Raw genomic sequence first — 24,133 nt, 5'->3', positions numbered from 1 at the left:
TAGTAGAGGTAGGCTTTCATCATGTTGGCCAGGCTGGTCTTGAACTCCTGACCTCAGGTGATCTACCTGCCTCGGCCTCCCAAAGTGCTGGGATTACAGGCGTGAGCCACCGCACCCAGCCAGCCCTGCATTATTTTTTATAACACAAAAAACAATAGCGTCCTTTTTGAAGGGACTAAAGAGCACTCATGAGTAAAGTCAGAACACCCACTTGTCTTCTCACTGGTCACGTTCTAGGTCTGGCCAAGCTGGGGAGCAGGAGCCCAGGGCCGAAGAACAGGGACTTTTTCTTTTCATTAAGCTAAATTCTGCATGTAAGTACCTGTGAGTGTAGTTTCCCAGTGTTTTCTAATCAGCTCTTCCAAAAGTTCTACCATATTTGTCCAGACGTGATCAAACACTTCTGCTGCCACGGCATCTTTGACACAGTCACGCGGGGAAACAGGAGGAAGTCCGAGTTTGCGCCATTTCCTACCGGGCTGAGCTGGTTTTTGTTCAAGACATTCATCATCACTAAGAATAAAAACCCACTCCAATTACTAAAAGATCAATGCTTAGAGTTAAAATAATTCTATCTACACACATTCACGTATGTACATGTATACATATATTAATAAACATTCTTTGTTAAACAGCATCGTTCTTTTTTAACATATATAATTTTTTTCCATTACACATGAATAAAAACAAGAAACCAACTCCTGGTTTCATTGATCTTTCTTTTTTTTTCTAGTCTCTTCATTTATTTCGGCTCTGAGCTTTGTTATTTCCTTCCTTCTACTAAGTTTGGGCTTAGTTTGTTCTTTTTCTCATTCCTTCAAGTATAAAGTTAGGTTGTTTATTTCAGATATGTCTTTTTTCTCAATGTAGGCATTTATTGCCATAGGCTTCCCTTTTAGAGCTGCTTCTACTGTACCCCATAAGTTTGGTTTTAATATGTTGTGTTTCCATTTTAATTTGTCTCATTATATTTTTTGATTTCCCTTTAGGTTTCTTCTTTGACCTACTGCCTGGTTGTTGAGGAGCAGGTTGTTTAGTTTACACATATTTGTGAGTTTTCTAGTTTTCTTCCTGTTATTGACTTTCAGTTTTGTACCACTGAGATCAGAAAAGATGCTTGATTTCAGTCTTCTCAAATGTGTTAAGACTTGTTTTATCAGTGTTACTTTTTAATGTGCCAATTTTCAATCACGGGGCAAAGTTTTATCATGTAATAGTTGTAGTTTTTGATTAAGAACAAAATACAAGGCTGGGCACAGTGGCTCACGCCTGTAATCCCAGCACTTTGGGAGGCCGAGGCAGAAGGATCACGAGGTCAGGAGATCGACACCATCCTGGCTAACACGGTGAAACCCCGTCTCTACTAAAAAAAAATTCAAAAAATTATCCGGGCGTGGTGGTGGGCGCCTGCAGTTCCAGCTACTCGGGAGGCTGAGGGAGGAGAATGGCGTGAACCCGGGAGGCGGAGTTTGCAGTCAGCCGAGCTCGCACGGCTGCACTCTAGCCTGGGCGACAGAGCGAGACTCCGTCTCAAAAAAAAAAAAAGAACAAAATACGAATTTAGTACAGAGGCAGGAACTCCCCTTAGGCCCTTTTGGGCAGCCAGGGCTGGGGAACCTGGAGCCCCCAGGACCAGGGCTGCGAGGAGCCTTGTCTGCTTTTACAAGGGCACTGAACACCCTCTTCGCTGCTCCCGCACGTGCACCGCTGGCTAGGAATCCAAAAGCTCTGGGGAGTACATTACTCTCAAAAGAACAGAAATCTTTTGGGTGAGTAAAAAATACACAAAACACTTAATGAGCATACGATAACAATAAATGTCAAATAAATTAATATTATTTTATGAGGTCAATGTCAAATAAGATTCTATTTACTCCTCTTTTCTGTCAAAAGCGAAATACTCCTCAATCTTTCCATCCACATGGTAAACCTCTTCTTCCAGGGATGAACGTGCCGTTAGGTCAGCAACCCCTGTGTCATCAGGGCCTGGCAGGGCAGAGGCTGAGAGTGCTGCTGGGACTATTTGAGAGCCAGAAATGCACAACCTATGGGAAAAAAACAGATTCTACATGGGAGTTTATAGAACACCAAGAACGCAATGCTTAAACGATCATGGCGGATCTTTCAATTATCTGTAAAGTACAGAATCCCCCCCTCCCAAAACGGTTGAATATTACATTGGACAAAACTCACGTCCTTAAAAACACTTTAATACAGGCATCATTAAACATTTTAAGGGCTTCTTAAAAGCCTAAATTATTCTATGAGTTTGTACCCTCTTTGGTTGCAGTGAAAGGACTGCATTGTGTCACGGCACACCAAATATGTGTGAATGGCATAGAGTCATCAAAATCTGCTAGTGAACAGAAACGACAGGACAGAGCTTCATTTCTCCTGCTGCCACCGCCTGGAGGCTTATAATCCATCACAGTGAGGCGGTTTCCATCCTGCACCCAGTCCACCTTTCACAGCGCCTTTGGAACAAACATGGAAGGTAACTACCATGTGTGTGCATGTGTGTTCCATATATATATTACACATCTCTCTATATACACACATATACACCTATCATCAATTCAGAATCAAAAGCTTCTTATAAAAATTGTTCTCTGTACCTGCCCTTCATCAGAATCTAAATTTCCAAAATGGGTGGAGCCAAGGCTTATAGATGAGATAAACATGAAAAAGTATAACTAAAATACAGCTAACAATACTTTTTGAGAGTCACTTATCTGAACATACTCTCTGATGTTGCTGCTGTGTCCGCAGGCACTGAGCGGGGGTCTGTGGACTGCGGAGGCAGGAGTGCTGCCCTGGAAATGCTGGACGCCTTTGTCAGTGGGCAGGATCAGCTGTCTTCCTAATACTCTGCGAGGTCAAAGAGAAGCTACTGACATTTTTGATCAGACAAAGGGAAAATGTTTGGAGATTTTAAAAGTAGGAGACAATGATTTTGAAGGCATGTGTATGATAAGATGTGTATGGGAACGTGGGAAGCATCACGCATCACAGAAGTGTGACTTTGAGAGTTTAGGCCAGACTGTTCTTCCACTGACTCAGTCTCAGGCAAGGTTCTCAGGCTAATTTCATTTGTTTGTCTTTCATTTGCAAAACAGGATAATAATGGTTACCTTGCAGGGCTGATGAATGGCTTAGAGATCATATATGACAGACTCAGGTGTCTAAGGCAACACTGGGCACAAAGAAGCCCTCCATACATATTAACTAATACACAGTTAAACACAAACATAACAAGAATACAAATATATAAATATGCACACTTGGCTTATGTACCTGACAATCTTTTCCCACCTTCCCTCCATTTCTATCAATGATGTAAGACAGCAGTGACAAGAATAAGTGTGAGCTCCCGAATTTCTGGTGAGTGATCATCCCCAGAAAAGTGAGTATCCACAACTAGTATCTAGTGGACATATCATACTCTTTAGGGCAGGTGGCTTATTAAGGGTTGAAAAGAAAAAAAAAAACAACCCTAGTTGGTCAAGATTTCTGTAAAAGTTACCTAGTGAATGTAACCAGGAAATCCAGCCACATTTACATGAGTGTTCTGATTCATTCTCCCCAGACAGAATCCACAGGAACTCAGGTAACTTTGATAAACTGTCCCCCAGTACGTTGGCTGAGTGACTGAAAGATAAGCTTGCCTTTGGCCGGGCGCGGTGGCTCATGCCTGTAATCCCAGCACTTTGGGAGGCTGAGGCGGGCGGATCACGAGTTCAGGAGATCAAGACCATCCTGGCTAACACGGTGAAACCCCGTCTCTACTAAAAATAAAAAAAATTAGCCGGGCGTGGTGGCAGGTGCCTGTAGTCCCAGCTACTCGGGAGGCTGAGGCAGGAGGATGGCGTGAACCAAGGAGGCTGAGATTGCAGTGAGCTGAGATCGCGCCACTGCACTCCAGCCTGGGCGACAGAGCAAGACTCCATCTCAAAAAAAAAAAAAAAAAAAAAAAGCAAAAAGAAAAGAAAAGCTTGCCTTCATACCCAATCCATATTCTCCATCTTTGATATGAAAAGTAACACATGCTCCTCCCTACATAAGGAATGGGTGAGATGGGAAGACCCATCTATCCAGCCGTTCAGCAAATCATCTCTGCCCACCCTCGCTGTGTTCTGTGATGAAGACAGACATGTGCTGCTCACACACAGTGAATGTGAAGGTAAGAGGTGGCCTCCACCATTCTTGCATTCGTATATGTGTCATGCCCTTCTCAGGATGGCCTGAATTTGCTTCTCACAAATTAAAAGGCGCTTGAGTACTGGAATGTCTCAGTATTTCCTCAGACGCCGTAAGAGGAAAGTGATCTCTCAGTGAAGGACTGCGCTCTGCATCCATATTCTGACTGGGCAGGCACTTTCACACCAAATGTACTGAATGTATCGAGGCAGGTCAGGGGTGGGTGCTTGGAAAACCCACCCCAGAGAACTTCCACCACCAAGGTCCCACCTCAAATGGAGGGATCTTCTTGTCCACTCCCCGCATTCGGCCAGCAGACTCTGGGTCTGAGGGTTCACTTTCCCTTCAAATAACATTTCCTCCACCTCCCAGAGTAACCGCTGCACTGACTGTGAACTGGCTTCGTCAAATTCCTAAACAGAAATGCACACTTGGTTACAACACTGCAAGTTACAGAACTGCGGGCTTCTGGATCAACGCTACTTATACATTTACTGTCACCCACTATGTAGGAGGGTGCATCACTTGGTAAAAAGATGGTGGCTTTGCAGTCAGACACACCTGTGCTCTAGCTGTTACCTTTCTGAGAAATGCCATCTCATTCTGAGCCTCGGATTCTTTTACTGTTAAATAGAGAAAACTTCTGCCACGGAAGTTATGAGACTCAAGAATTTGCATAGATAGAGGTATAGATGGACGTGTTCATACTGCCACAGACATCAGCGTAGACACACAGACACGTCCACATCTGTATGTCTGCAAACACAGGCAGCTCCTCACAGAGCTGTGCCTGACACACCTAAGCACACCTGCAAAATACAAGATTTTTTTTTCTTCTGGTGATACCACAGAAAAGAAAATTACTTTTGTAGAAAAGGCCATTAATCTCCTTAAATCAATGAACTGGAAAAAAAAATCCTTAGTTATCCTAAGAAGTGTGGTTATTAGGGTGAGGCCTGAGTATTAATGGAAGTTATACGAATTTCCCTGGTAATTCCATTAAACGTTGTACTAAAAGAATCCTAGAATTTGGACAGAGTAAAGCAGTGGTGCTCAGCCTTCTACCAAGGAAGGCGGGCTTGAGGGATGGTGGTGAGTGGGCGTAAGGGAGAGGAAGGAGGCAGCTGCCCCTAAGTAAGGGAGCTGCGTGCGTGAAAGGTCCTCCTAGCAGTGCTGAGCTGAGTCCCTTTCAGACCCCCTCGGTGCACCTGCCCTGCCGGCTCCCCTGAGAATCACAGCTGCACAGCTGCGGACAGAAGCGGATTCCCATGTGCAGTGGGAGTGGGGAACCACTTTTAAAGAAAGCAAAGAGGCTGGGCGCAGTGGCTCATGCCATGGGAGGCCCAGGCAGGCGGATCACAACGTCAGGAGTTCGAAACCAGCCTGGCCAACATGGTGAAACACCGTCTCTACTAAAAATACAAAAATTAACTGGGCATGGCGGTGCACACTTGTAATCCCAGCTACTCGGGAGGCTGAGACAGGAGTATTGCTTGAACCTGGTAGGCGGAGGTTGCAGTGAGCCGACATGGCACCACTGCACCTCAGCTTGAGTGACAGAGCAAGACTCTGTCTTAAAAAAAAAAAAGAGAGAAAAGGCCGGACGCGGTGGCTCACGCCTGTAATCCCAGCACTTTGGGAGGCCGAGACGGGCGGATCACGAGGTCAGGAGATCGAGACCATCCTGGCTAACACGGTGAAACCCCGTCTCTATTAAAAATACAAAAAATTAGCCGGGCGTGGTGGTGGGCGCCTGTGGTCCCAGCTACTCGGGAGGCTGAGGCAGGAGAATGGCGTGAACCCGGGAGGCGGAGCTTGCAGTGAGCCGAGATCGCGCCCCTGCACTCCAGCCTGGGCGACAGAGCGAGACTCCGTCTCAAAAAAAAAAAAAAAAAAAAAAAAGAGACAGAGAGAGAGAGAAAGCAAGCAAGCAAAAAACAACAACAACAACAACAAAACACCCAGCATAAACGAGGTAAAACAGAACACCCAAGGTGCTGCAGCCAGGTGGGCCTTAAAAAGGAGGGCTGTGTCCTGGGATCCACGGAGACCCTTGGAGGGAGGGGGAGGGAGGAGACTGGAGCCAGTGAGCTCCTGAGCAAGCTGGAGCAGTGGAGGCAGAGCTCGCCCAGCCAGAATCCCAGGCTCACACAGACAAAAGCAGTTCAGAGGCAACAGCGCCCCCAGCGGTAGGGGGTGAAGGTGAAATATCCGACTGGGAATACTGGCGGGGAGTTCTCTAATCACAGTGGCTGCCACAGCTTTTACTTTTCCAGCATTTCTTTCTTATTCAAGTCCTGAATTTCCGGCCATGGATACCATCCAAGAAGTCACAAGGAGCACACACCCGGAGAGCCGGCTGCAGGGTGGAAACAAGAAAACTGCGGGCAGCTAAGACGGGGCCAGAAGGTCACGAGGGAGTTCTGTTTTCCTCCACGGTTCGTGATCTATTATTTTCACATGTAACATGTACATGCTTTTACATGTATGTACATGTATGTATGCAATAGGTCATGCTTTTATAATTGGTAAAAATAATTTTGAATATAAGGAAGCAACTCTTCACTATAAACTGTAATTACAAGATTATCCAAAATATTCTGAGACATACGTCATCTCTCCAGGAATAAACGGAGCCCCTCTCCGTGGATGAGCCGGTGGTAGAGCTCTGTGTGGCCGACCCAGACCAAGAGGTGTGGGCTCCCGTGGGTGTATGGCTTCCGCTGGAGGAAAAGGATGACAAGGATTTGCTGCAGGAATGAACATGAGCAAAGAAATCACATTTGCTGGAAGGGCTTGGATGGCTAAGTGGCTTCACTTTTCTGAGCCTGCTTCCTCTTTCTTTCATTAAATATATTTATTAATTTCACAGTATACTAATTTTGAAATATTTTTACAGTGTGATGTTTACACTAGGTTAAAAATAAAACTGCATCTTACTTTTAGAAATTCATGGCCAGTCACTAACTTCCTTCCCACATTTGTTACGGGCATTTTGTGATTTTGTAATCTGAAGCAAGGTGAATTCTTACCAGGTATATTTATCAATGGCTTTCTGCACATTTCTTGTAAAATGCGTAGGTAAAGAATCTTTGCTCCTCACAGTAAAACCGTGCCTTCTACGTCCTTCTGACAGTCCTCTTCTGGAAATAAAATAAAACATGACGAGTCTCCCTAATGTAATAATATAGTTTTATTCATTAAGACTTTTAAAATTTCTCTTTTATACAAAGTTGCTCCTCTCGTTCTGCCACATCCCTCCAAACCCACCTGTGCATGAGCGCACACACACACACACACACACACACACACACACCCCATCCTGATGAAACTGAGACTTAGGATGTCATCATTTTTCTTTTTCTTAAAATCAAGGTTGCCATTAACCTATATGTACCTTTATGTGAACTGAAGACAACATCAACTTTTTGTGACTCAGCCAGAGAAGGAAAAGTTGCCCCAAACAGTTCACAGTATTTCAGGGATTTCAGGTCCCAGTTGTCCCTTGACCAGGGACAAGGGACTTACTTACAAAACCCAACCACTCCTCCAGTAAAAAAATCATTAATCCCATATTAATTAAGAAACATCAAATTCTTTAGACTCAGAAGCCACACAGACACCTAACTTGCTTTAATCTAGCATTGCTGTTTGTGGGTATACTGAGTTTTCAAGAGTTAGAAGATATTAAAATTTAATGAAGAACTAAAACAGAAGAAATATCTAGATGTTAAATAAACTATTAAGCCTAACTGGTGTAGCACAGTTCCTGTTAATCATTGAAATGTCCTTTCAATGAACCGCTTAAAACATTTACTTCCTCTAGTCAAAATATCTTCCTGATGTTTAATAATCAACAACTTCTGTTCTTCAATAGAAATCTTATTTTCCCTTACAAATAAAACATATATTAACATAAGATATGGTCATGAATCAGGAAAAACTTCAACTTTCAATATTTCTAGTTAGAACACCACTCTAAAATGCATTTTTAAAAAGTTTGCTTTTGCTTTCGATTATAAGGCTACCTAATTGATCTCAGCTCACTGCAACCTCCACCTCCTAGGTTCAAGTAATTCTCCTGCCTCAGCCTCCTGAGTAGCTGGGATTACAGGCGCCTGCCACCACGCCCAGCTAATTTTTGTATTTTTAGTAGAGACAGGGTTTCACCATGTTAGCCAGGCTGGTCTCGAACTCCTAACCTCAAGTGATCTACCCGCTTCGGCCTCCCAAAGTGCTGGGATTACAGGCATGAGCCACCACACCCAGCCAACAAAGAGAATTTTTAAAACAAAGTAATTACCATGTACAGATTGGCGAGAACATCTACCTTCCATAGATACGTCTCATGCAAGAGAGAATAATAGAATTATATGATTGTTTTTATTCTCTTTGTTGCTTAGGTATCTTACGGACAACCAGGTAACTCTGAGGATAAAGATGTTAAAGAAAGGGCCCCAGAGAAAAGAATAAAGGACACGCTTTATGCTGACAAACTGCTTTACCTTTAGCCCTCTTCAGTTGCTTTCAAGCCATTAATTATTTCTTGTTTACATGTGACTCAGTAACTTTTTAGGTAAACATACAAATACTAATGACATAAAATAACAACTAAAAGTTACATCAAATAGATTTGTTTTGAACACTAAGAAAAACATACTGGTATAGGAGTTAATATATGACTGAGAAATAATTTTAAAACTCAGCATGATGAATTAGCTAAAACATTGTTCTTTTGTGATACATATCTACAGAATAATAATGGGGGGTTCAAATTTGCTCTGCCACTGAGGCTTTAAGCAAGTTAACTTTTCCTCTCCTGAATTCAGTGTCCACATCTGTAGATAAAGTATATGAAGTGTCAGTCAGTGCTACATAAATCGGGTTTACCTGCTCACTGCTATTATTATTGTTATGTTATTATTATTACTTGACACAGGGTCTTGCTTTGCTCCACAGGCTAGAGTGCAGTGGCAGGATCACAGCTCACTGTAAGCTCGACCTCCAGGCCTCAAGTTATCCTCCCACCTTCAGCCTCTCTAGTAGCTGGGACTACAGGTGTCTACCACCATGCTTGGCTAACTTTTTAATGTTTTGTAGAGATGGGGTCTCACTATATTGCCCAAGCTGGTCTTGAACTCTTGGGCTCAAGTGATCCTCCTGCCTTGGCCTCCAAAACTGCTGGGACTATAGGCATGAGCCACCGCACTGTCCTCTCACTGCTATTATCATCATCACCTGCTACTCTACGAAGATGCTGTGTTCTTGTTTCTTTGGACCTCCCATAGCATTTTGTATTATATAGATCTTTTCACATTTTAACTTTTTGTTGTGACCTTGACACCTTATTCATCTTTTAAGCTAAGCACCTGAAATAACACTCGTCACACAAAAGATGCCCTCGGTTGAAAGACTCAAACGGCGAAGACGAAATTAGCAACTCAAATGCGGAACTCATTTTCACTACAGAATTACTCTGAATGTTTATGCCTGAAACATAGGATTACATCGTGACCTGACATGAAAATATTCCCCAGATTCAAGACACTATTGGATAACGTTTTACTCGTTAAAAAGTCACAGCTCTTCTTTGGGCAGCTGATATTCCCCCAAATGGTTTTCACCGCCAAACGGAGCATCTGCTCTGCTCAAGACGGTCTATCCTGCTTCTAGCTCCTCCTCCTGCTTTTGTGCAACTTTGAAGCCAAATTCAAAATGGGACGCATGCGAGTTTGTTTCAATGAATAATTTATTCCTCTAGGAAATTCACTCTTTTTCAGGGGAAAGGGTGGAAGCTCTTTTCAAATTAAGGAGAAAATTATTTACAAAACGGAGGAACTCATCTCTCTTCACATCACACCACATCCTTTCCAGGACCAGGCTTCCCACTGTCTTGGACGCAGAGCTGAGCCCAGGAGGTCTTGGGATGCAGGGCAGGGGGAAATGGGAAGTTGGGTAACAGTCACACCAATTATTACGAATTAGGTGCCTTAAAACTCCCCTACTCCATGCCATTTCTCCCTCTTTTTTCCTCTCTGACCTTCCCCTCTGTATCTCCTTTTAAGCAATTTCTTGAGCTTCAGAGTTCAGTGTAATAACATACAAACTTGACCACACAATTCACAAAAAAACGAGGTGAACAGGAATTTAAGTCCGTAACTCAATGATTGCCCAAGAGCACAAAGAAGATAGGGACAGAGTTTCTTCGAGGAACCAGGCCACTGACCTGCCTGTCTCTCCAGTGGCACAAGTTACTAACATCATGAATTAACAGCAGAGCCTACAAAATCCCTTTCTTGTCTTTTTCTTTTTTTTTTTCTCTTTCACATCTTGTTTTGGTTCTTTGGTTTCTCTGTTCTCTAACCAAGGATTGGTTACTGGTCCCTCATGCATAATGTTGAACCTCTTTAATCCCCTATAAACTATGGACTAGTTCTGTATCCTACACAGTCTAAGAAAGTGTACACAACTTACAGGATGCATCCCACAGGTATTTTAAAACTTGAATATGGTGGCATGTCCATGAAGCTTCTAAACATAGACATGCAAGTTCTATACTAGTTCCTGTCCATACTGTTTAAATAGAGCAAGGCTGTTGATTTGGGGACAGGTCTTCGTAGGGTGGACTGAAGTGCAGTCACTAAACTAGACTGCACTCATTTGTTGGCGCATGGAGGTTAAGGGTGAGTTCCAATCTCCATGACTCCATTCCAGCTGTCAGGAAAATCATCATCCAGAGTTACTGTTTTAGGTTGCTTCTTGACAGCCCACAAACCTCTGCCACACTGCTTTGTAGAAATTCTAATGTCAGTGACAGCAGCTTTCAAAATTTTCTATTCCTAGTTGACAGGACTGTCTGACATAAGCACTGTACTCTGAACGGGTTAAAATGCAGGCTGGTTTTCTGGATGGGGGGACACACAGGGGCACTCCAGGGTGGCCATGGGAAGCCGCTCCTCAGCACGGAACACTCACACCGCCCTGACCCAACACCAGCAAGTCCCAGGAGCGACCGCAGTGACGAAGGAGTCCCTTTGGCGGCGAACGCTTCCCCGCGTGAGCCATGCCCGGGGCCGGCCTGACGCTTCCCGAGTGCCTGCAGGGAAGCCCGGGCCAGACGCAGCCGGCCCGCGGGCGGAGAACACCGCGCACATCGCCTGCAGAGCGGCCAGAAGGCGAGCCCTGCTGCCGGATGAGACTCACCCGATTACGATCAGCCCCGGGCCTGTGCTCGCAGCCCCCGCGCCAGGCTCCGCGCTAGGCTCGGGCACCGTCAGGCAGAGGCACCGCGCGCGGGCCCCACGCAGACAGCCGGTCACGCGCCCCCGCGGCCCCGGGGCTGGGGCTCCCCACCCGCCCGCGCCCGCGCCCGCGCCCGCGCCCGCGCCCGCCGCGCGGCTGGCCCAGCTCAGGCGGCCCGGGCGCGCCCGGGGTCCGCGGGGCTCGCACGCCCCTTCCCTCTCCAGATCCTCCGCCCCGCCCGCGCCGGCGCCGCCTCCCCTCCTCCTCCCTGCGCTGCGCCCTCGCCCGCCAGCTAATCCCGGCTGCGCCCGCCCATCCCCGCTCCGGGCCCCGGCCCCGGCCCCGGCCCCGCGCCGACCTCCGGGAAAGCGCGCCTTCCCCGCTCCCTGCCGGGCCGGGTTTCCAACCCAGCGGCCACTCCTCCGCGCACGGCCCGGCCTCCCTACTCCTTCCCGGGTCTCTGGGGCCGGGGGCTGTGCATACTGGTGCTGGCTGCCCTTCTCTCTTCCAAATCGGATTTTAATTCACCAGAAGAAGGCAGAGAACCACAGGACCATCTCGCCTATCCCCGCCCCATCAAAGGGTGCGCACACCAGGCTGGGGTGGGGAGTGGACGAATGAGGTTTAAAAAATGAAGCCCCGGATCTGGTCAATGCGAGAACCATTACTCCATCAACAGGAACGCTAGATCTAAGCATGCATACTAAAGACGTGGACCCTTCCACGCCCGTCCTGCCCTACCGGCTCACACAAGCCGGTGCATCTCCTGCACACCCCGAGCATGCCTGCCGCTTGCGTTACCATGTGCTCGTTTCAGTTTTGGAGGCCCAGGATTATACCAGGAGCAGAGCAGCTGGACGCTCTCCTGTGAGCTGGTGAAACTGCCAAGCCGTCATTTTCACATGCTAAGGGAAGAAGGGGTGAGGTCGCGGAGGTGAACTACATTTTTGAGTCTCAGAGGGTGGGCACTGCACGAGGCATGCCTTTCCCACGACAGGGATTTTAGTAATGACAGTTAGTGCACTGGGTGCCGGTACAACACTCATCCCCGTCCTGCCGTAGCCAGTCTCTTTTGAGAGCTGAGGCCATCTAAGTTTCAACAGGTACAATTTCTCCTGCCAAGTATCCCGTATTTACAGAGGTAAACCATGTATTTCCGAGTTTTTACTAAAAAGCCCAGTTTATTTCTGATGCACCACCCTAGCACGGTGACAAGAAATCACTACCAATAACAAAAACAGTAGTCCAGCCAGGGTGGCTCACGCCTGTAATCCCAGCACTTTGGAAGGCTGAGGTGGGCGGATCACTTGAGATCAGGAGTTCAAGACCAGCCTGGCCAACATGGTGAAACCCCAGTCTCTACTAAAAATACAAAAATTAGCTGGGTGTGGTGGTGCGTGCCTGTAATTCCAGCTACTCAGGAGGCTGAGGCATGAGAATCACTTCAACCTGGGAGGCGGAGATCGCCCCACCCACTCCAGGCTGGGCGACAGAGGGAGACTCTGTCTCAAAAAAACAAACACAAACAAAACAGTAATCCATTGTTGAACTAAGAACACTGGAATCCTCCCCACTTTTATAAAAGTGGTAAGTGGTTATAAATTATAAAATTAATGAGATTTTAAATCCTGATACATGTATATGTGTATATGTGTGATGTGTGTGTATGTGTATACATATCTATCAGGAAAACTATGGTATCTTAAGCCCACACAGACTTGCTGATATTATTTATATTGCCAGGGGTGGGAGGATGGGCATGCCAGGGAAACAAAAGAAAGGAGTCTGGTGTGATGGCTCCCACCTGTAACCGCAGTGTTTTGAGAGGCCAAGATGGGAGGATCACTAGAGCCCAGGAGTTCAAGACCAGCCTGGGCAAGACAGCAAGACTCTTGTCTCAAAAAAAAAAAAAAAAAAAAAAAAAGTAAAAATCGAACACAAAGTCATTTAAGATCCAAACATATGCTAGCTGCTTTTACTTTTATATATATTATTTTACATATATTCTTACATATATTTAACACCCATAGTAGGTAGACACTATTATTACAATTTTGTTGATAAAAATACTGATGTCAGAGACCTTAAGTAACATGTTCGAGGTCACACAGCTAGGATGTATATGTGTGAATGTGTCCCAGATATCTATTACCCCATAACAAACCACCCCAAATGTAGATTAAATCAACAGTCATGTTGTTATGCTCATAATCCACAGAACTCAGGAATTGCGGCAGGTTGAGTGTTTCTTCTGCTCCCCGTGGGGTTGCTCAGTGGCATACAGGTGGAGGGTGGTCTGGTGTGGAGGCTCTAAGAAGGCTTCACTCATGTGTCTACACCATGCAGTCGGGGGTGGCTGGAAGTCTGGGCTCAGTTGAGCCTTCTCTCATGCAGCTTCAACACTTCTCTGAGTGGTCCCTCCAGTGAAGTCGTTGGAATTTCTACGTGGCAGCTTAGGGCTCCAAGAAAGCGAGGCAGAAGCCGTCAGCTCTATTCAAGGTGGCAACTGGCAGTGTCACCTCCACTGTACTCCATAATCAAAGCAGTCCCAGAATGAAAGAGATGGAAAATAGACCCCAGCTCTCAATGGGAAGAACCTACAGCCGTCTTTAATCCGCCATAACCGTCCTCTGGCCACAGGTCATTTACACATGCACGATACACTCAGCTCTTTCAAGATGCTCAGAAGTCTCATCATCTAAAGCATGTCCGCGTACAGATGAGGCTTCTGCTTGGGTATTTCCTTTACATCTGAAGACCTGCGAACTAGAGAGACAAGGCAACAGCCTTCTCCACACCCAACCGACAATGGTGAGACAGAGCCAGGACATCCCCAGTGGGCACCTGTCCAACAAGAGAGGTGGCGGAGCCAGGCAGCAGCCACTGCGGGTTCCAGCAGGCTCCTGCTGCCTTGCCTTGAGGAGGACTCACTTCTGCTTCCTGCCTTCTCCCCAGCCCTTAGCTCTGTCCTCTGGGCTGTTGCTTCTACCGAGACTTCCTCAGGGAAAAGAAATGGCCTAGGTTTGCAACTAAGTAGCCTCTCAGCCTGCTTTCCTCCAGGGAAGGCTGGGGAAGGGGGTCCAAAAGTCTGTGCCTCTTTTAGTTCAAGCCAGTGGCGCTTCCATCACTCTGCCAATACCTTGTGGGTTTCTTTGAATTTTATCAGAGTTCACCCCATCCATTAGTTACAAACCACACTGACCTGAGATGGGCCCTTGGTCCACCTTTGAGACTGCCGGGGGCCAATTCTCTTATGATTTTTTAAAGCCCTATTATCTTGGGGATCTATGAGACACCCCTAAATCTGACGTCTTGTTAAGCCAAACCTTTGATTTCACCTTTACCCCTGCCTAGGATTTGATCTTTGCACAGAGGCCATTTTTCAGTTTTGCCCAGAGAGACTGTGATGGTCAAAGTTTCACAAACCCAGCAAGTCTTGACTTCTATATTTCTTATGACTTCTGTTCAAAACCTGAACAGTTCCTTAATTCATTTGTCTCTTCTCTCAAATTTCAAAACCTAAAGCTATGCTGCTTGCTTAAAGATTAAAGTGATAAAATCTTCACGTTGGATTGGTTTAGACCACCACTGCCCAGTAGAAATATAATGTAAATACATACAATTTTAAATTTTCTAGTATCCACATTTATAAAGTAAAAGAAACAGGTACAATTAATTTTAATGATATATTTTAATCTAATATAAATTATCATTTTAACATGTAATCTGTATAAAAATTGGTAATTAGATATTTTTAATTTTTTTGTACTAAGTTTTGAAATCCAGTGTGTATTTTACACCAATAACATATTTCATGCATCCAACAAAGGTCTAATATCCAGTATCTATAAGGAACTTAAAAATACATTTGCAAGAAAAAAACAACCCATAAACAAGTGGGCAGAGGACATGAACAGACACTTTTCAAAAGAAGACATACATGTGGCCAACAATCACATAAAACAAAGTTCAACATCACTTACCATTAGAGAAATGCAAATCAAAGCCACAATGAGATACCATCTCACATCAGTCAGAATGGCTATTCTTAAAAATACCAGATGCTGGCAAGTTGGATCAGAACTACTTCACTGGCTCTCCTGGATCTCCAACTTGGCCATTCACCTTGAAGGCCTTGTGACTTGTCAGCCTCCATAATCAATGAGCTAAATCCTTGTAATAAATCTCTTTATACAGATATATACAAATATAGATGTAGACATGTATCTCCTATTGCTTCTGTTTCTCTGGAGAACCTAATACAATGTTACCTGTACTTAGTCCATACGATTTTCCATCTTTCATTGATTATTTAAACCCTAATTGAGAATTGAAAAGTACATAACTATTTCTATCTTATTGTTTAAGTGTTTTACATTTTAATGGCATGGGGCCCTGGGATCAGTAATTAGAGTCATTAAATGGGAGACCTCAATTCCTAAAATAATAGGATCTCCCTTAGCCTAGTTTGGCGAATTCATTAGGATAAAATAAAATGGTATAGGCTGGGCACAGTGGCTCAGCACCTTGGGACGCCAAGTCAGGAGGATCTCTTGAGCTCAGGAGTTCAGAACAAGCCTGGGCAACATAATGAGACGTTGTCTCTACAAAAAAAAAAAAAAAAAAAAAAAAGCTAGGTGTGTTCACATGGATCTGTAGTCACAGCTAATTGGGAGACTGAAGTGGGAGGATCACTTAGAGCCCCGGAGATGGAGGCTGCAGTACTCCAGCCTGGGTGACGAAGCAAGACACTGTCTCAAAAAATAAAAATAAAAAGTGGTATATGTGATTATGTGATCACCCTCTGAAAATTAATTAGTAATATAAGATATAAAGTTATTCCAAAAATTATAAGCAACTCCTCTAAAAATTGACCTGATTTCACGTGCTGGCTCTGTCTTGCCCTAGCCATGCAATCCTGAGCTGATAACTTAATGCTGTGAGCAGAAATTAGCTAAAACAAGGCTAATATTACTGTCTTCCTTGTAGAGTTGTGTGAATTAGAGACAAATTTTGGAAACTGCATATAGATACATAATAAATTGTAAATTATTCCTTTTTTCAGCATTTAAAGCATTGAGAGTGGTTTTTTTTGTTAGGTGGAGTATTAAACCAGTTCATTTTAATATTATGCAATATAATACACAAAAGTTACATACAGTTTTTTACATTTATCCAGTACGAGCAGTCCTGGCTTTACATGGGTATCATATAAACTGAAACTTGTGCATATCAGAACTGTGGCCTTGCTTTGCAAATACAAACATATACATACAACTATGTCATCTCTCTATACCATAGAGCTGTCTCCAGTAGCAATGAGCACCTCCAGTGCCTAGATCTTAGTTCCTAACACTGTCCTAGTCCATCTGGGCTGCTATGACAAAATACCATAGACTGGGTGACTTATAAACAACAGAAACGTATTAGGTGGATGCAAAAGTAACTGCAGTTTTTGCCATTACCTATCTCCCACAGGTCTGAAGGCTGGGAAGTCCAAGATCAAGGTGGTAGCAGATTCAGTGTCTGGTGCCGGCTCCATGCTTCCTAGATGGTGCCTTCCAGCTGTGTCTTCACATGGCCAAAAGGGTGAAGAAGCCCCCAGGGCCTCCTTCATAAAGGCATGAATCCCACTCACGAGGGCTTTGCAATCATGACCTAATCGCCTCCTAAAGGCCCCACCTTTAGTACCATTTCATTGGAGAGAGATTTCAACCTATGAATTTTGGGGGATACAAACATTCAGACCACACCAAATACTATTCTCCAATAGAGGGACCAGGGCTCCATGGAGGAGTGGCCGATTTGGGGGCTGAGGCAGGGCAATATAAAATGTACCTGGAGCATCTTGTACTGCCAGACTGTAGGAAAGTGCTCAAAAAACAAAAACCAAAACAACAGAAGAATGAGAGCATGTCACAGGAGCCATCCTGAAAGAGCCCCAAATGGCTAAAGCTAGAACAACCTGAGTAACAAAATACATCATGTGCTATCGGATTATAACTAAAGTACAAAATACATTTCTATGAGCCCATATTGATAGAAATAAACAAATAAATAAATAAATGGGGAGAAGAGGCACATTTCCCACAGAAGAACTCTACCCCAGTGGTGTGTGTCTCCCCTTCCAGGAGGCGGGCATCATACCTTCTTCTCCAAGAGTGCAGTATGGAAGCTTGACTCCAAGAGTGCAGTATGGAAGCAGGGGGTGACTTTACAGGGGAGCAGCCTGACAAGCACTCCCGGAGCCAGGTGGTCAAGGCTGGCACCATCCGTGATGTGTCATGTTGACACGCACCCTTGCAATGAGGCAATGAGAAAGGCACTTCCCTTCTGTGGCCTTCCCCCCCAAACCCATAACCCCAGTCTCACCATGATAAAAACACAAGGCGAACCCCAGCGGAGCGGCCTTCTACAAAACACATGACCAGTACTCCCCTAAACTGTCGTGATCATCAAAACAAGAAAGTCTGAGAAACTGTCTCGGATCAGAGGACACTGAGGAGACGTGACAACTCCATGTAATGTCAAGTGGACCCTGGAGGAGAGGAAGGGCACTGGGGAAAACTGGTGGTGACGGTTAATACAGTTTAGGGGACCCTGCGTGAAGCAGATGACCCTCCATCATGGGGGTGGACCTCATCCAATCTCTGCAATTCTCTGGATCACTATTTGCAAATTCACCTATTTGCTAAAATATAATTGTAACCCCCAAAATAATCTGTCACCTCTGCAGGTTTTGGACTTACCAAGCCTCCACAATCACGTGAGCCTATTTTTAAAAAATCTCTCTCCCTCTTCACACATGCAAACACACACACACACACACTCACTCACTAACTCATCCTGTCTGATCTGCTTCTCTGAAAAACCCTGAATAGTACTCTGGTGAAATCAGAATAAATGTGGAGTTTAGTTAATGGTAACGGATTGATACTGGTTCATTAGTTGTGACACATGTACCAGAATAATAGGGAGCTGCTTTTCTGTAAATCTAGCTCTAAAATAAAAAGTCTGTTTTAAAAATGCTTGCATTAACCTCCTCTATACATTTAAATATATTTTACAAGTTGGTAACTTCCTTCATAGAAGACTAATAAAACAATATCATGTTTTATTATTTTAATGGGAAGAGTATAAAAATCTTGGAAAGTGCTAGGTAAACTATGAAGTCCATAGCTTATATAAAATTATAGAAAAATATAGAATATATTATTTAATATTTAAAAATTACCTAAGTGGTGAAATTTATAAGTACATTGTTTTAAATGAGTCCAGGAAATTGCAATAAATAAATATGATATTAAATGATAACAGAATTTTTCTTTTATGAGCATGTTCTAGGAATAGCCTGTGTAAACCAAGATATAGCTCTAGATTGGGATTGAAAGGCTGCATGTAATATTGAAATGGTGGCATGCAATATTGCCAGAAAGCCACCAGATGTCAACATTTCCCCTCTTTCATCACTATAAAAAAAAAAATCCTTGCCCAGATTTTAATACTTTATGGTTTCTTTTTTGCAAGATTTAGGATTTGCCGAATTTTCATTCCAGAATAGATAGGGAATCCTGTCTCAATCAGAAGTCAGCATTTCAGTGAACAGTAGGTGGTACGCACAGCCGACAGAAAGTGCGTACCATGCACATATCATACCATGCACATGATATGAATGTGCATGAGGGACAGGGTATGCTTTCGCTCTGACCAGCACTTAGAGCCAGAGACCAATGTACCTTACTCGTAAACCTCACACCACCACATGAACAAAACCTTCAGCCACCTGAAAGGTGGCTACTCTTTTATATAGAAAAAAAAAAAAGAGGGTCAGCAACATCCAGTAAATTCCCAAGGGTACACAGCTTTATCCAGATCAGTCCAGTCTAGCTTTAAAAGTTTAGCTTTCAAAGATTCATCTCAAATCCAATTTGCTGATTTCTGTTAAAGTTCCTTTCATTATTGGTCTATTTTAAACACAACAAATATGTTCTACCATAGTATCCACTAACATTTCCTGAATATGTACCACACACCAGGCCCTGCTTTAAGCACTTAGAGAGAGAGAGAGAGAGAGAGAGAGAGAGAGAGAGAGAGAGAAAGAGAGAGAGAAAGAGAGAGAGAGAGAGAGAGAGAGAGATCAATCAGTGTATTTGAGCTTCACAATCATTCTTCGAAGGGGGCACTGCTGTTAATGCCATTCTGCCAGTGAGAAAACTCGGGCACAGACAGGTGGACGGAAAGGCAGAGCCACCTTCTTAGGCTGTGGGCAGCCTGGCTTGTTGAGCACCCCACCTGCAGCCCTGCAGGGCACACTCCCACAGCTCCCTACAAATCATACAGAGACGCTAAAGCTCCTATACATGGCACAGATTATCAGGACATTTTGAAATTGCTATAAATGTTGTATCCAAAAAAGGATGAAAAATACTTAGACTTTTAATATGAAGAGTATAAAAAGCATAGAAAGTCCTAGGTAATCAATAAGGTCCACAAGCTTATAGAAAATTATAGAAAAATATAGAATTAGTACATTATTCAAAATGAAATACCTAAGTTCTGAAACCCAACTTTTTAAAGTAAGTGCTAAAATTTATCACGGAGAGTAATTATTAGGCAGAATCATATGAAATTGTCCATATTATACTACTTTGAACCAGAGAAACAGAAATTTCATTGTTTCAACCTAATATATTGAACAAATGGGTCCAATGACATTCTTTAATATCCAATTTTTTTACTTTTACACATTTGTTTACTATACTTAGTATAAAGTGAAAAAAGAATAATCTAAAAACTGTTTTACAAAAATTCTGATAATTAAACAGTCTTTCAACATAAAAATAACTATCCAAACATATTCTATGAAGAGTTCAATTGGGCAAACTGCAACATCAATAAGGCCAAATTTTCCTAAAATGTGTTTTTCAATGTTTGATTTACTCTTTTAAACAGCACAGCAGAAAACAAAGACTTCGTAGTAATTGCTAGACCACTGTTGTACATTAGATTTTATGTAACTGAAATATTAAGATGCAATTGATCCTTATTATTCTCTGGTTCACCCTCTGCAAATTCACCTACTTGCTAAAATACATCTGTAAGCCCCAACTCCACACGCGTGGTGCCTCCATGCCCCTCCGCACATGTGCAGAACAATGACACACCTGAGTCCCTTCAACTGCGTGCTCCCCGCTGCGGTCACACAAGGCGACCCTGCCTTGTTTCAGCTCTCACGCTGTCAACAAGTGTGCACTTTTGTGGGTCTATTCAGTGCTGTCACAGGTCTTCCAAATTGTTGTGCTTGTTGTGGGTGATCTGGCTGTGTAAAGTGGTCTTGGAGTGCTGTGCTAAAGCTGCCGAGTGTTCCTAAGCGCCAGAAGGCTGTGGTGTGCCTTGAGAAGGAAATACGTATGTTGATCAGCTTTCAGGCACGAGGTATAGACAGCGCTGTCGGTGAGTTCAATGTTAGCAAGTCGCTACTATATATTAAATGAGGTGTCTTTCAACACGAACACACATTAGACAAGCTCAGGTATCGATCAGTTGACAAAAATGTTGAGACTGGAGACTCACAGGACGCGAACCCTGTATTTCCTCTGCAGCTATGGTTCAGTATTCACTACATCATGGTTTCCGGTGACTTCACAGACCATGACTACCAGGGATAATGAGAACTGATTATTACCTCTACCACCACTCATATGTATATGACATTACAACACAATGTCTTCATAAATCTCTTACTAAATTTCAAGACATACAGATGGAATTTCAGAACACTAGAATTGGGAGATTGCATGCATTTTATGTTTAATACACAATCTAAAGTAAAAAACGTGAGAGTAGAGGCAAAGGGGTGGTGCCCGCTGTCTTATGTCTGCACTGCAGTTTGTCAGGTCAGAATTGAATTCAGTGGTTCTCAAATTGTAACATGCAGCAGGATCACCAGAGAGCTCGTAAAAACCCAGGTTGCTGGGCCCCACCCCGGTCTCTGGTGCAGCAAGTCTGCAGTGCGAATGTGGATTTCTCAGGATCCCACGTGCTGCTGGTACTGCGGCCCAGGATGGCACTTCGAGAGCCACCGCCCTGATTCATCTGTTATACATTCTGTCCTCCCAACGCATTCCCACCTAAAAAACTGCTTGAGCCCAGGAACTGCGTCATATTGAATTGTGTCACCCTAGCCTCAGCACACCTTTAATCAATGTTTGAAGGAGTAGAGGAACTAATGAAAGCCTTCGTATTCCAGAGAAGAAAAAGCGAGGTCTCAGAAGGGCAGGCCTGCTGCTGCTTGGTGAAGGCCAGGGACCAGAATCCAGATTCCTGCAAACCTGCAGCACACGAGGCTGCTAGGCTTTCCCTCAACAGCTTTAATTGTAAGTAAATCCTATTCCATCTTTGGGTGGGAACACCAGCAGAACACCCTTTCTAAATGTAAAACAACAAAACTGTCAGATTCTAGGGCAATGCAGGATACCCAGGGAAAACCTAGGTCTGACTAACGAAGACATTTGGGAGAGCACAGAGGTTCCTCTTTACTTGGTGATCCAGGGCTCTCAGCTGACCAAAGCTGAAAGGAGAACTCAGGCTGCCAGACACTCTCAGGATGACTGTGTTCTCGCTGTCTTTCTCATGCACCTAAAAAAGCAAAAGGCTCTTCCTGTCCTTGCTGCGGCACCTAGTACAGAGTCAGCCATGAACATGCTTCACATGCAGCTTTCTTCCTATTTCAGACCCAGGAAAATACCAGTCTAAAATGTTGCAAAAGAAGAAAATAAAGATCATAATTGCTCAGGTTTAATCTCTGAGGCTGGGATGTGTCTATCTTCAACAGCATCGCACGATGCTGTCTGGAAGCCCTTGCCAAAAAATGTAAAAAAGATCAGTCCTCCATTTTAAACTCATTAGAGTGGCTGTTTAAAAAGAGATAAAGAAAGTAAGTTTTGGTGAAGATGTAGAGGAATGGGAATCCTCGTGCATCACCGGTGGAAACGTAAAATGGTGCAGCTAGTATAAAAAAATCGTTTGTGATTCCTCAAAAGTGAAACACAAAATTACCATAGGATCCAGCAATCCCACTTCTTGGTATACACTGAAAGAATTAAAAGCAGGGACACAGGCCAGGTGCAGTGGCTCATACCTGTAATCCCAACACTTTGGGAGGCTGAGGTGGGCTGATCACTTGAGCCAGGAGTTCGAGACCACCTTGGGCAATACAGGGAGATCCTGTCTCTACAGAAAATTTAAAAAGTAGGTAGGTGTGGTGGCACATGCCTGTCCTCCCTGGTACTCTGGGAGGCTGAGGCAGGAGGATCACCTGAGCCCAGGAGGTCAGGGTTGCAGTGAGCTATGATCACGCCACTGTACTCCAGCCTGAGTGACAGAGCAGGACCCCATCTCTAAAAAATGTTCATAGCAGCATTGTTCACACAGCTGAAGAGGGAAGCAACCCAAATGTCCATCAACAGAAGAATGGATAAACAAAAGGTAGTATATATTAATACATACAATTAAATATTGTCTTAAAAGGGAATGAAAATCTGATTCATGCTATAACATGGATGAACCTTAAAATCTTTACGCTAAGTGAAATAAGCCAGACACAAAAGCCCAAATATTGTATGATTCCACTTATATATATAAGGTCCCTAAAGTAGTCAAATTCATACAGACAGAAAGCAGAATGGTGGTTGCCAGGTGCTGAGGAGAGGAAGGAACGGGGAGTTACTGGTAACAGGTAGTGAGTTTGTTTGAGATGATGAAAAACTTCTGGAGATGGATGGCGGTGGTGACTGCACAACACTGTGAATGTGGTACTTAATGCCACTAAATGGTACACTTAAAATTGTTAAAATAAATTCTGTCTCATGCATATTTATCACATTTTTTAAAAAATCACCTCCCAGCTTGCAGAATGTAGTGTGTAGGGTGGAAAGAAGTCGAGACAATACATGACTCCTGTCTAACCTTTACCCACCAGTGAATGCCTAGGGAGGAGGGGGCAGTGTTGAGTCAGAAGCCTTTACTCACATTCCTAAGCAGTGCTGAGTGCAGGCCAGCTCTATAGGCAGAGCTCGTCTCAGAGCACAGCGTCAATGTCTCTTTTAAAAAATCCATCTCCAAATACCATCACACTGGGGGTTCAGGGCTTAACATGAACATGAATTTAGGGAAAGACTGTGAAAGCAAAACAGAAACTTGGGACCCCAGTTCAGGATGCCAAAAGGAAACACTTAAGCTGAAAGTTGAGTCATGCAAGAAACTATCTTTCCTTTTGTTGACAGGCAGAGAGCTACAGATAAAAGGTTCAATATCTTCACAGGTGGCTAGCCTATGTTCACCTTATCTTGCATAAAGAGCAGATGTACTAAGCCTGGACAAGCACCGAATTGGCCATTCCCCTCCCTGCTCCTTTTGTCTTGGAACAAGTGGATTCAGTAGTGAGACCATACCCTCCTATCCCCTCCAGCCTGCTTTTCCCCTTTAAATACTGAAGCCCTCAAAACCATCTTTGGAAAAAGGCACAGACCTGTCTCCCTGGCACATTCTTAACCTTGGCAAAATTTCTAAATCGGTTGAGACCTGTCTTAGATATTTTTTGGTTTAGAAGACACAGACATTCAGCCCATAACAATCATCTTTTCACCAATGTCGGCAACACCAACTTTGCAACAATCCCATAGACAAATAGGTC

At 44.0% G+C, this 24,133-nt stretch overlaps 1 protein-coding gene across 6 annotated transcripts in view, besides 5 other annotated features; it reads right to left on the bottom strand.

The window, feature by feature from the left end:
• The window catches only part of FAM149A (family with sequence similarity 149 member A), a 70,634-nt gene that overhangs the window by 18,825 nt on the left and 27,676 nt on the right, over positions 1-24,133 (bottom strand). The window contains exons 1-7 of one of the 6 annotated variants that reach the window (NM_001006655.3): positions 11,923-12,226; positions 7,230-7,340; positions 6,809-6,920; positions 4,468-4,610; positions 2,743-2,868; positions 1,875-2,045; positions 323-513 (exon numbers count right to left, since the gene is read on the bottom strand). In NM_001006655.3, coding sequence (NP_001006656.1) covers positions 323-513; positions 1,875-2,045; positions 2,743-2,868; positions 4,468-4,553 — 574 coding nt within the window. In that variant the 5' untranslated portion in view covers positions 4,554-4,610; positions 6,809-6,920; positions 7,230-7,340; positions 11,923-12,226. Of the gene's footprint in view, positions 1-322; positions 514-1,874; positions 2,046-2,742; positions 2,869-4,467; positions 4,611-6,808; positions 6,948-7,229; positions 7,341-11,400; positions 11,627-11,797; positions 12,227-24,133 lie in introns of those variants that run through there. The other 5 variants (NM_001350178.1, NM_001350179.1, NM_015398.4 and 2 more) reach the window with 5 other exon arrangements.
• Positions 6,380-6,575: a silencer, noted in NCBI's record as "fragment chr4:187071092-187071287 (GRCh37/hg19 assembly coordinates)". NCBI's record gives its function as "represses an EF-1alpha promoter that drives an FKBP-Casp9 reporter gene in an ReSE screen in K562 erythroleukemia cells {active_cell/tissue: K562}" and the evidence as "EXISTENCE:reporter gene assay evidence [ECO:0000049][PMID:32094911]".
• Positions 6,594-7,793: an enhancer, noted in NCBI's record as "MED14-independent group 3 enhancer chr4:187069874-187071073 (GRCh37/hg19 assembly coordinates)". NCBI's record gives its function as "activates an origin of replication core promoter dependent on BRD2, BRD4, P300/CBP and CDK7 cofactors, and independent of MED14, by STARR-seq in HCT116 cells {active_cell/tissue: HCT116}" and the evidence as "EXISTENCE:reporter gene assay evidence [ECO:0000049][PMID:35650434]".
• Positions 11,760-12,260: an enhancer, noted in NCBI's record as "H3K4me1 hESC enhancer chr4:187065407-187065907 (GRCh37/hg19 assembly coordinates)". NCBI's record gives its function as "activates a minimal SCP1, AML or CMV promoter by ChIP-STARR-seq in naive H9 embryonic stem cells {active_cell/tissue: H9 hESC(naive)}" and the evidence as "EXISTENCE:reporter gene assay evidence [ECO:0000049][PMID:30033119]".
• Positions 12,261-12,761: an enhancer, noted in NCBI's record as "H3K4me1 hESC enhancer chr4:187064906-187065406 (GRCh37/hg19 assembly coordinates)". NCBI's record gives its function as "activates a minimal SCP1, AML or CMV promoter by ChIP-STARR-seq in naive H9 embryonic stem cells {active_cell/tissue: H9 hESC(naive)}" and the evidence as "EXISTENCE:reporter gene assay evidence [ECO:0000049][PMID:30033119]".
• Positions 22,171-22,330: an enhancer, noted in NCBI's record as "active region_22266". NCBI's record gives its function as "activates an Ori minimal core promoter by ATAC-STARR-seq in GM12878 lymphoblastoid cells {active_cell/tissue: GM12878}" and the evidence as "EXISTENCE:reporter gene assay evidence [ECO:0000049][PMID:35858748]".

This window comes from Homo sapiens, chromosome 4 (assembly GCF_000001405.40).
Source record: "Homo sapiens chromosome 4, GRCh38.p14 Primary Assembly".
Lineage (NCBI taxonomy): Eukaryota > Metazoa > Chordata > Mammalia > Primates > Hominidae > Homo > Homo sapiens.
The sequence above is the reverse complement of the archived record's forward strand: the minus strand, read 5'-3'. Positions and strand labels throughout refer to the sequence as shown.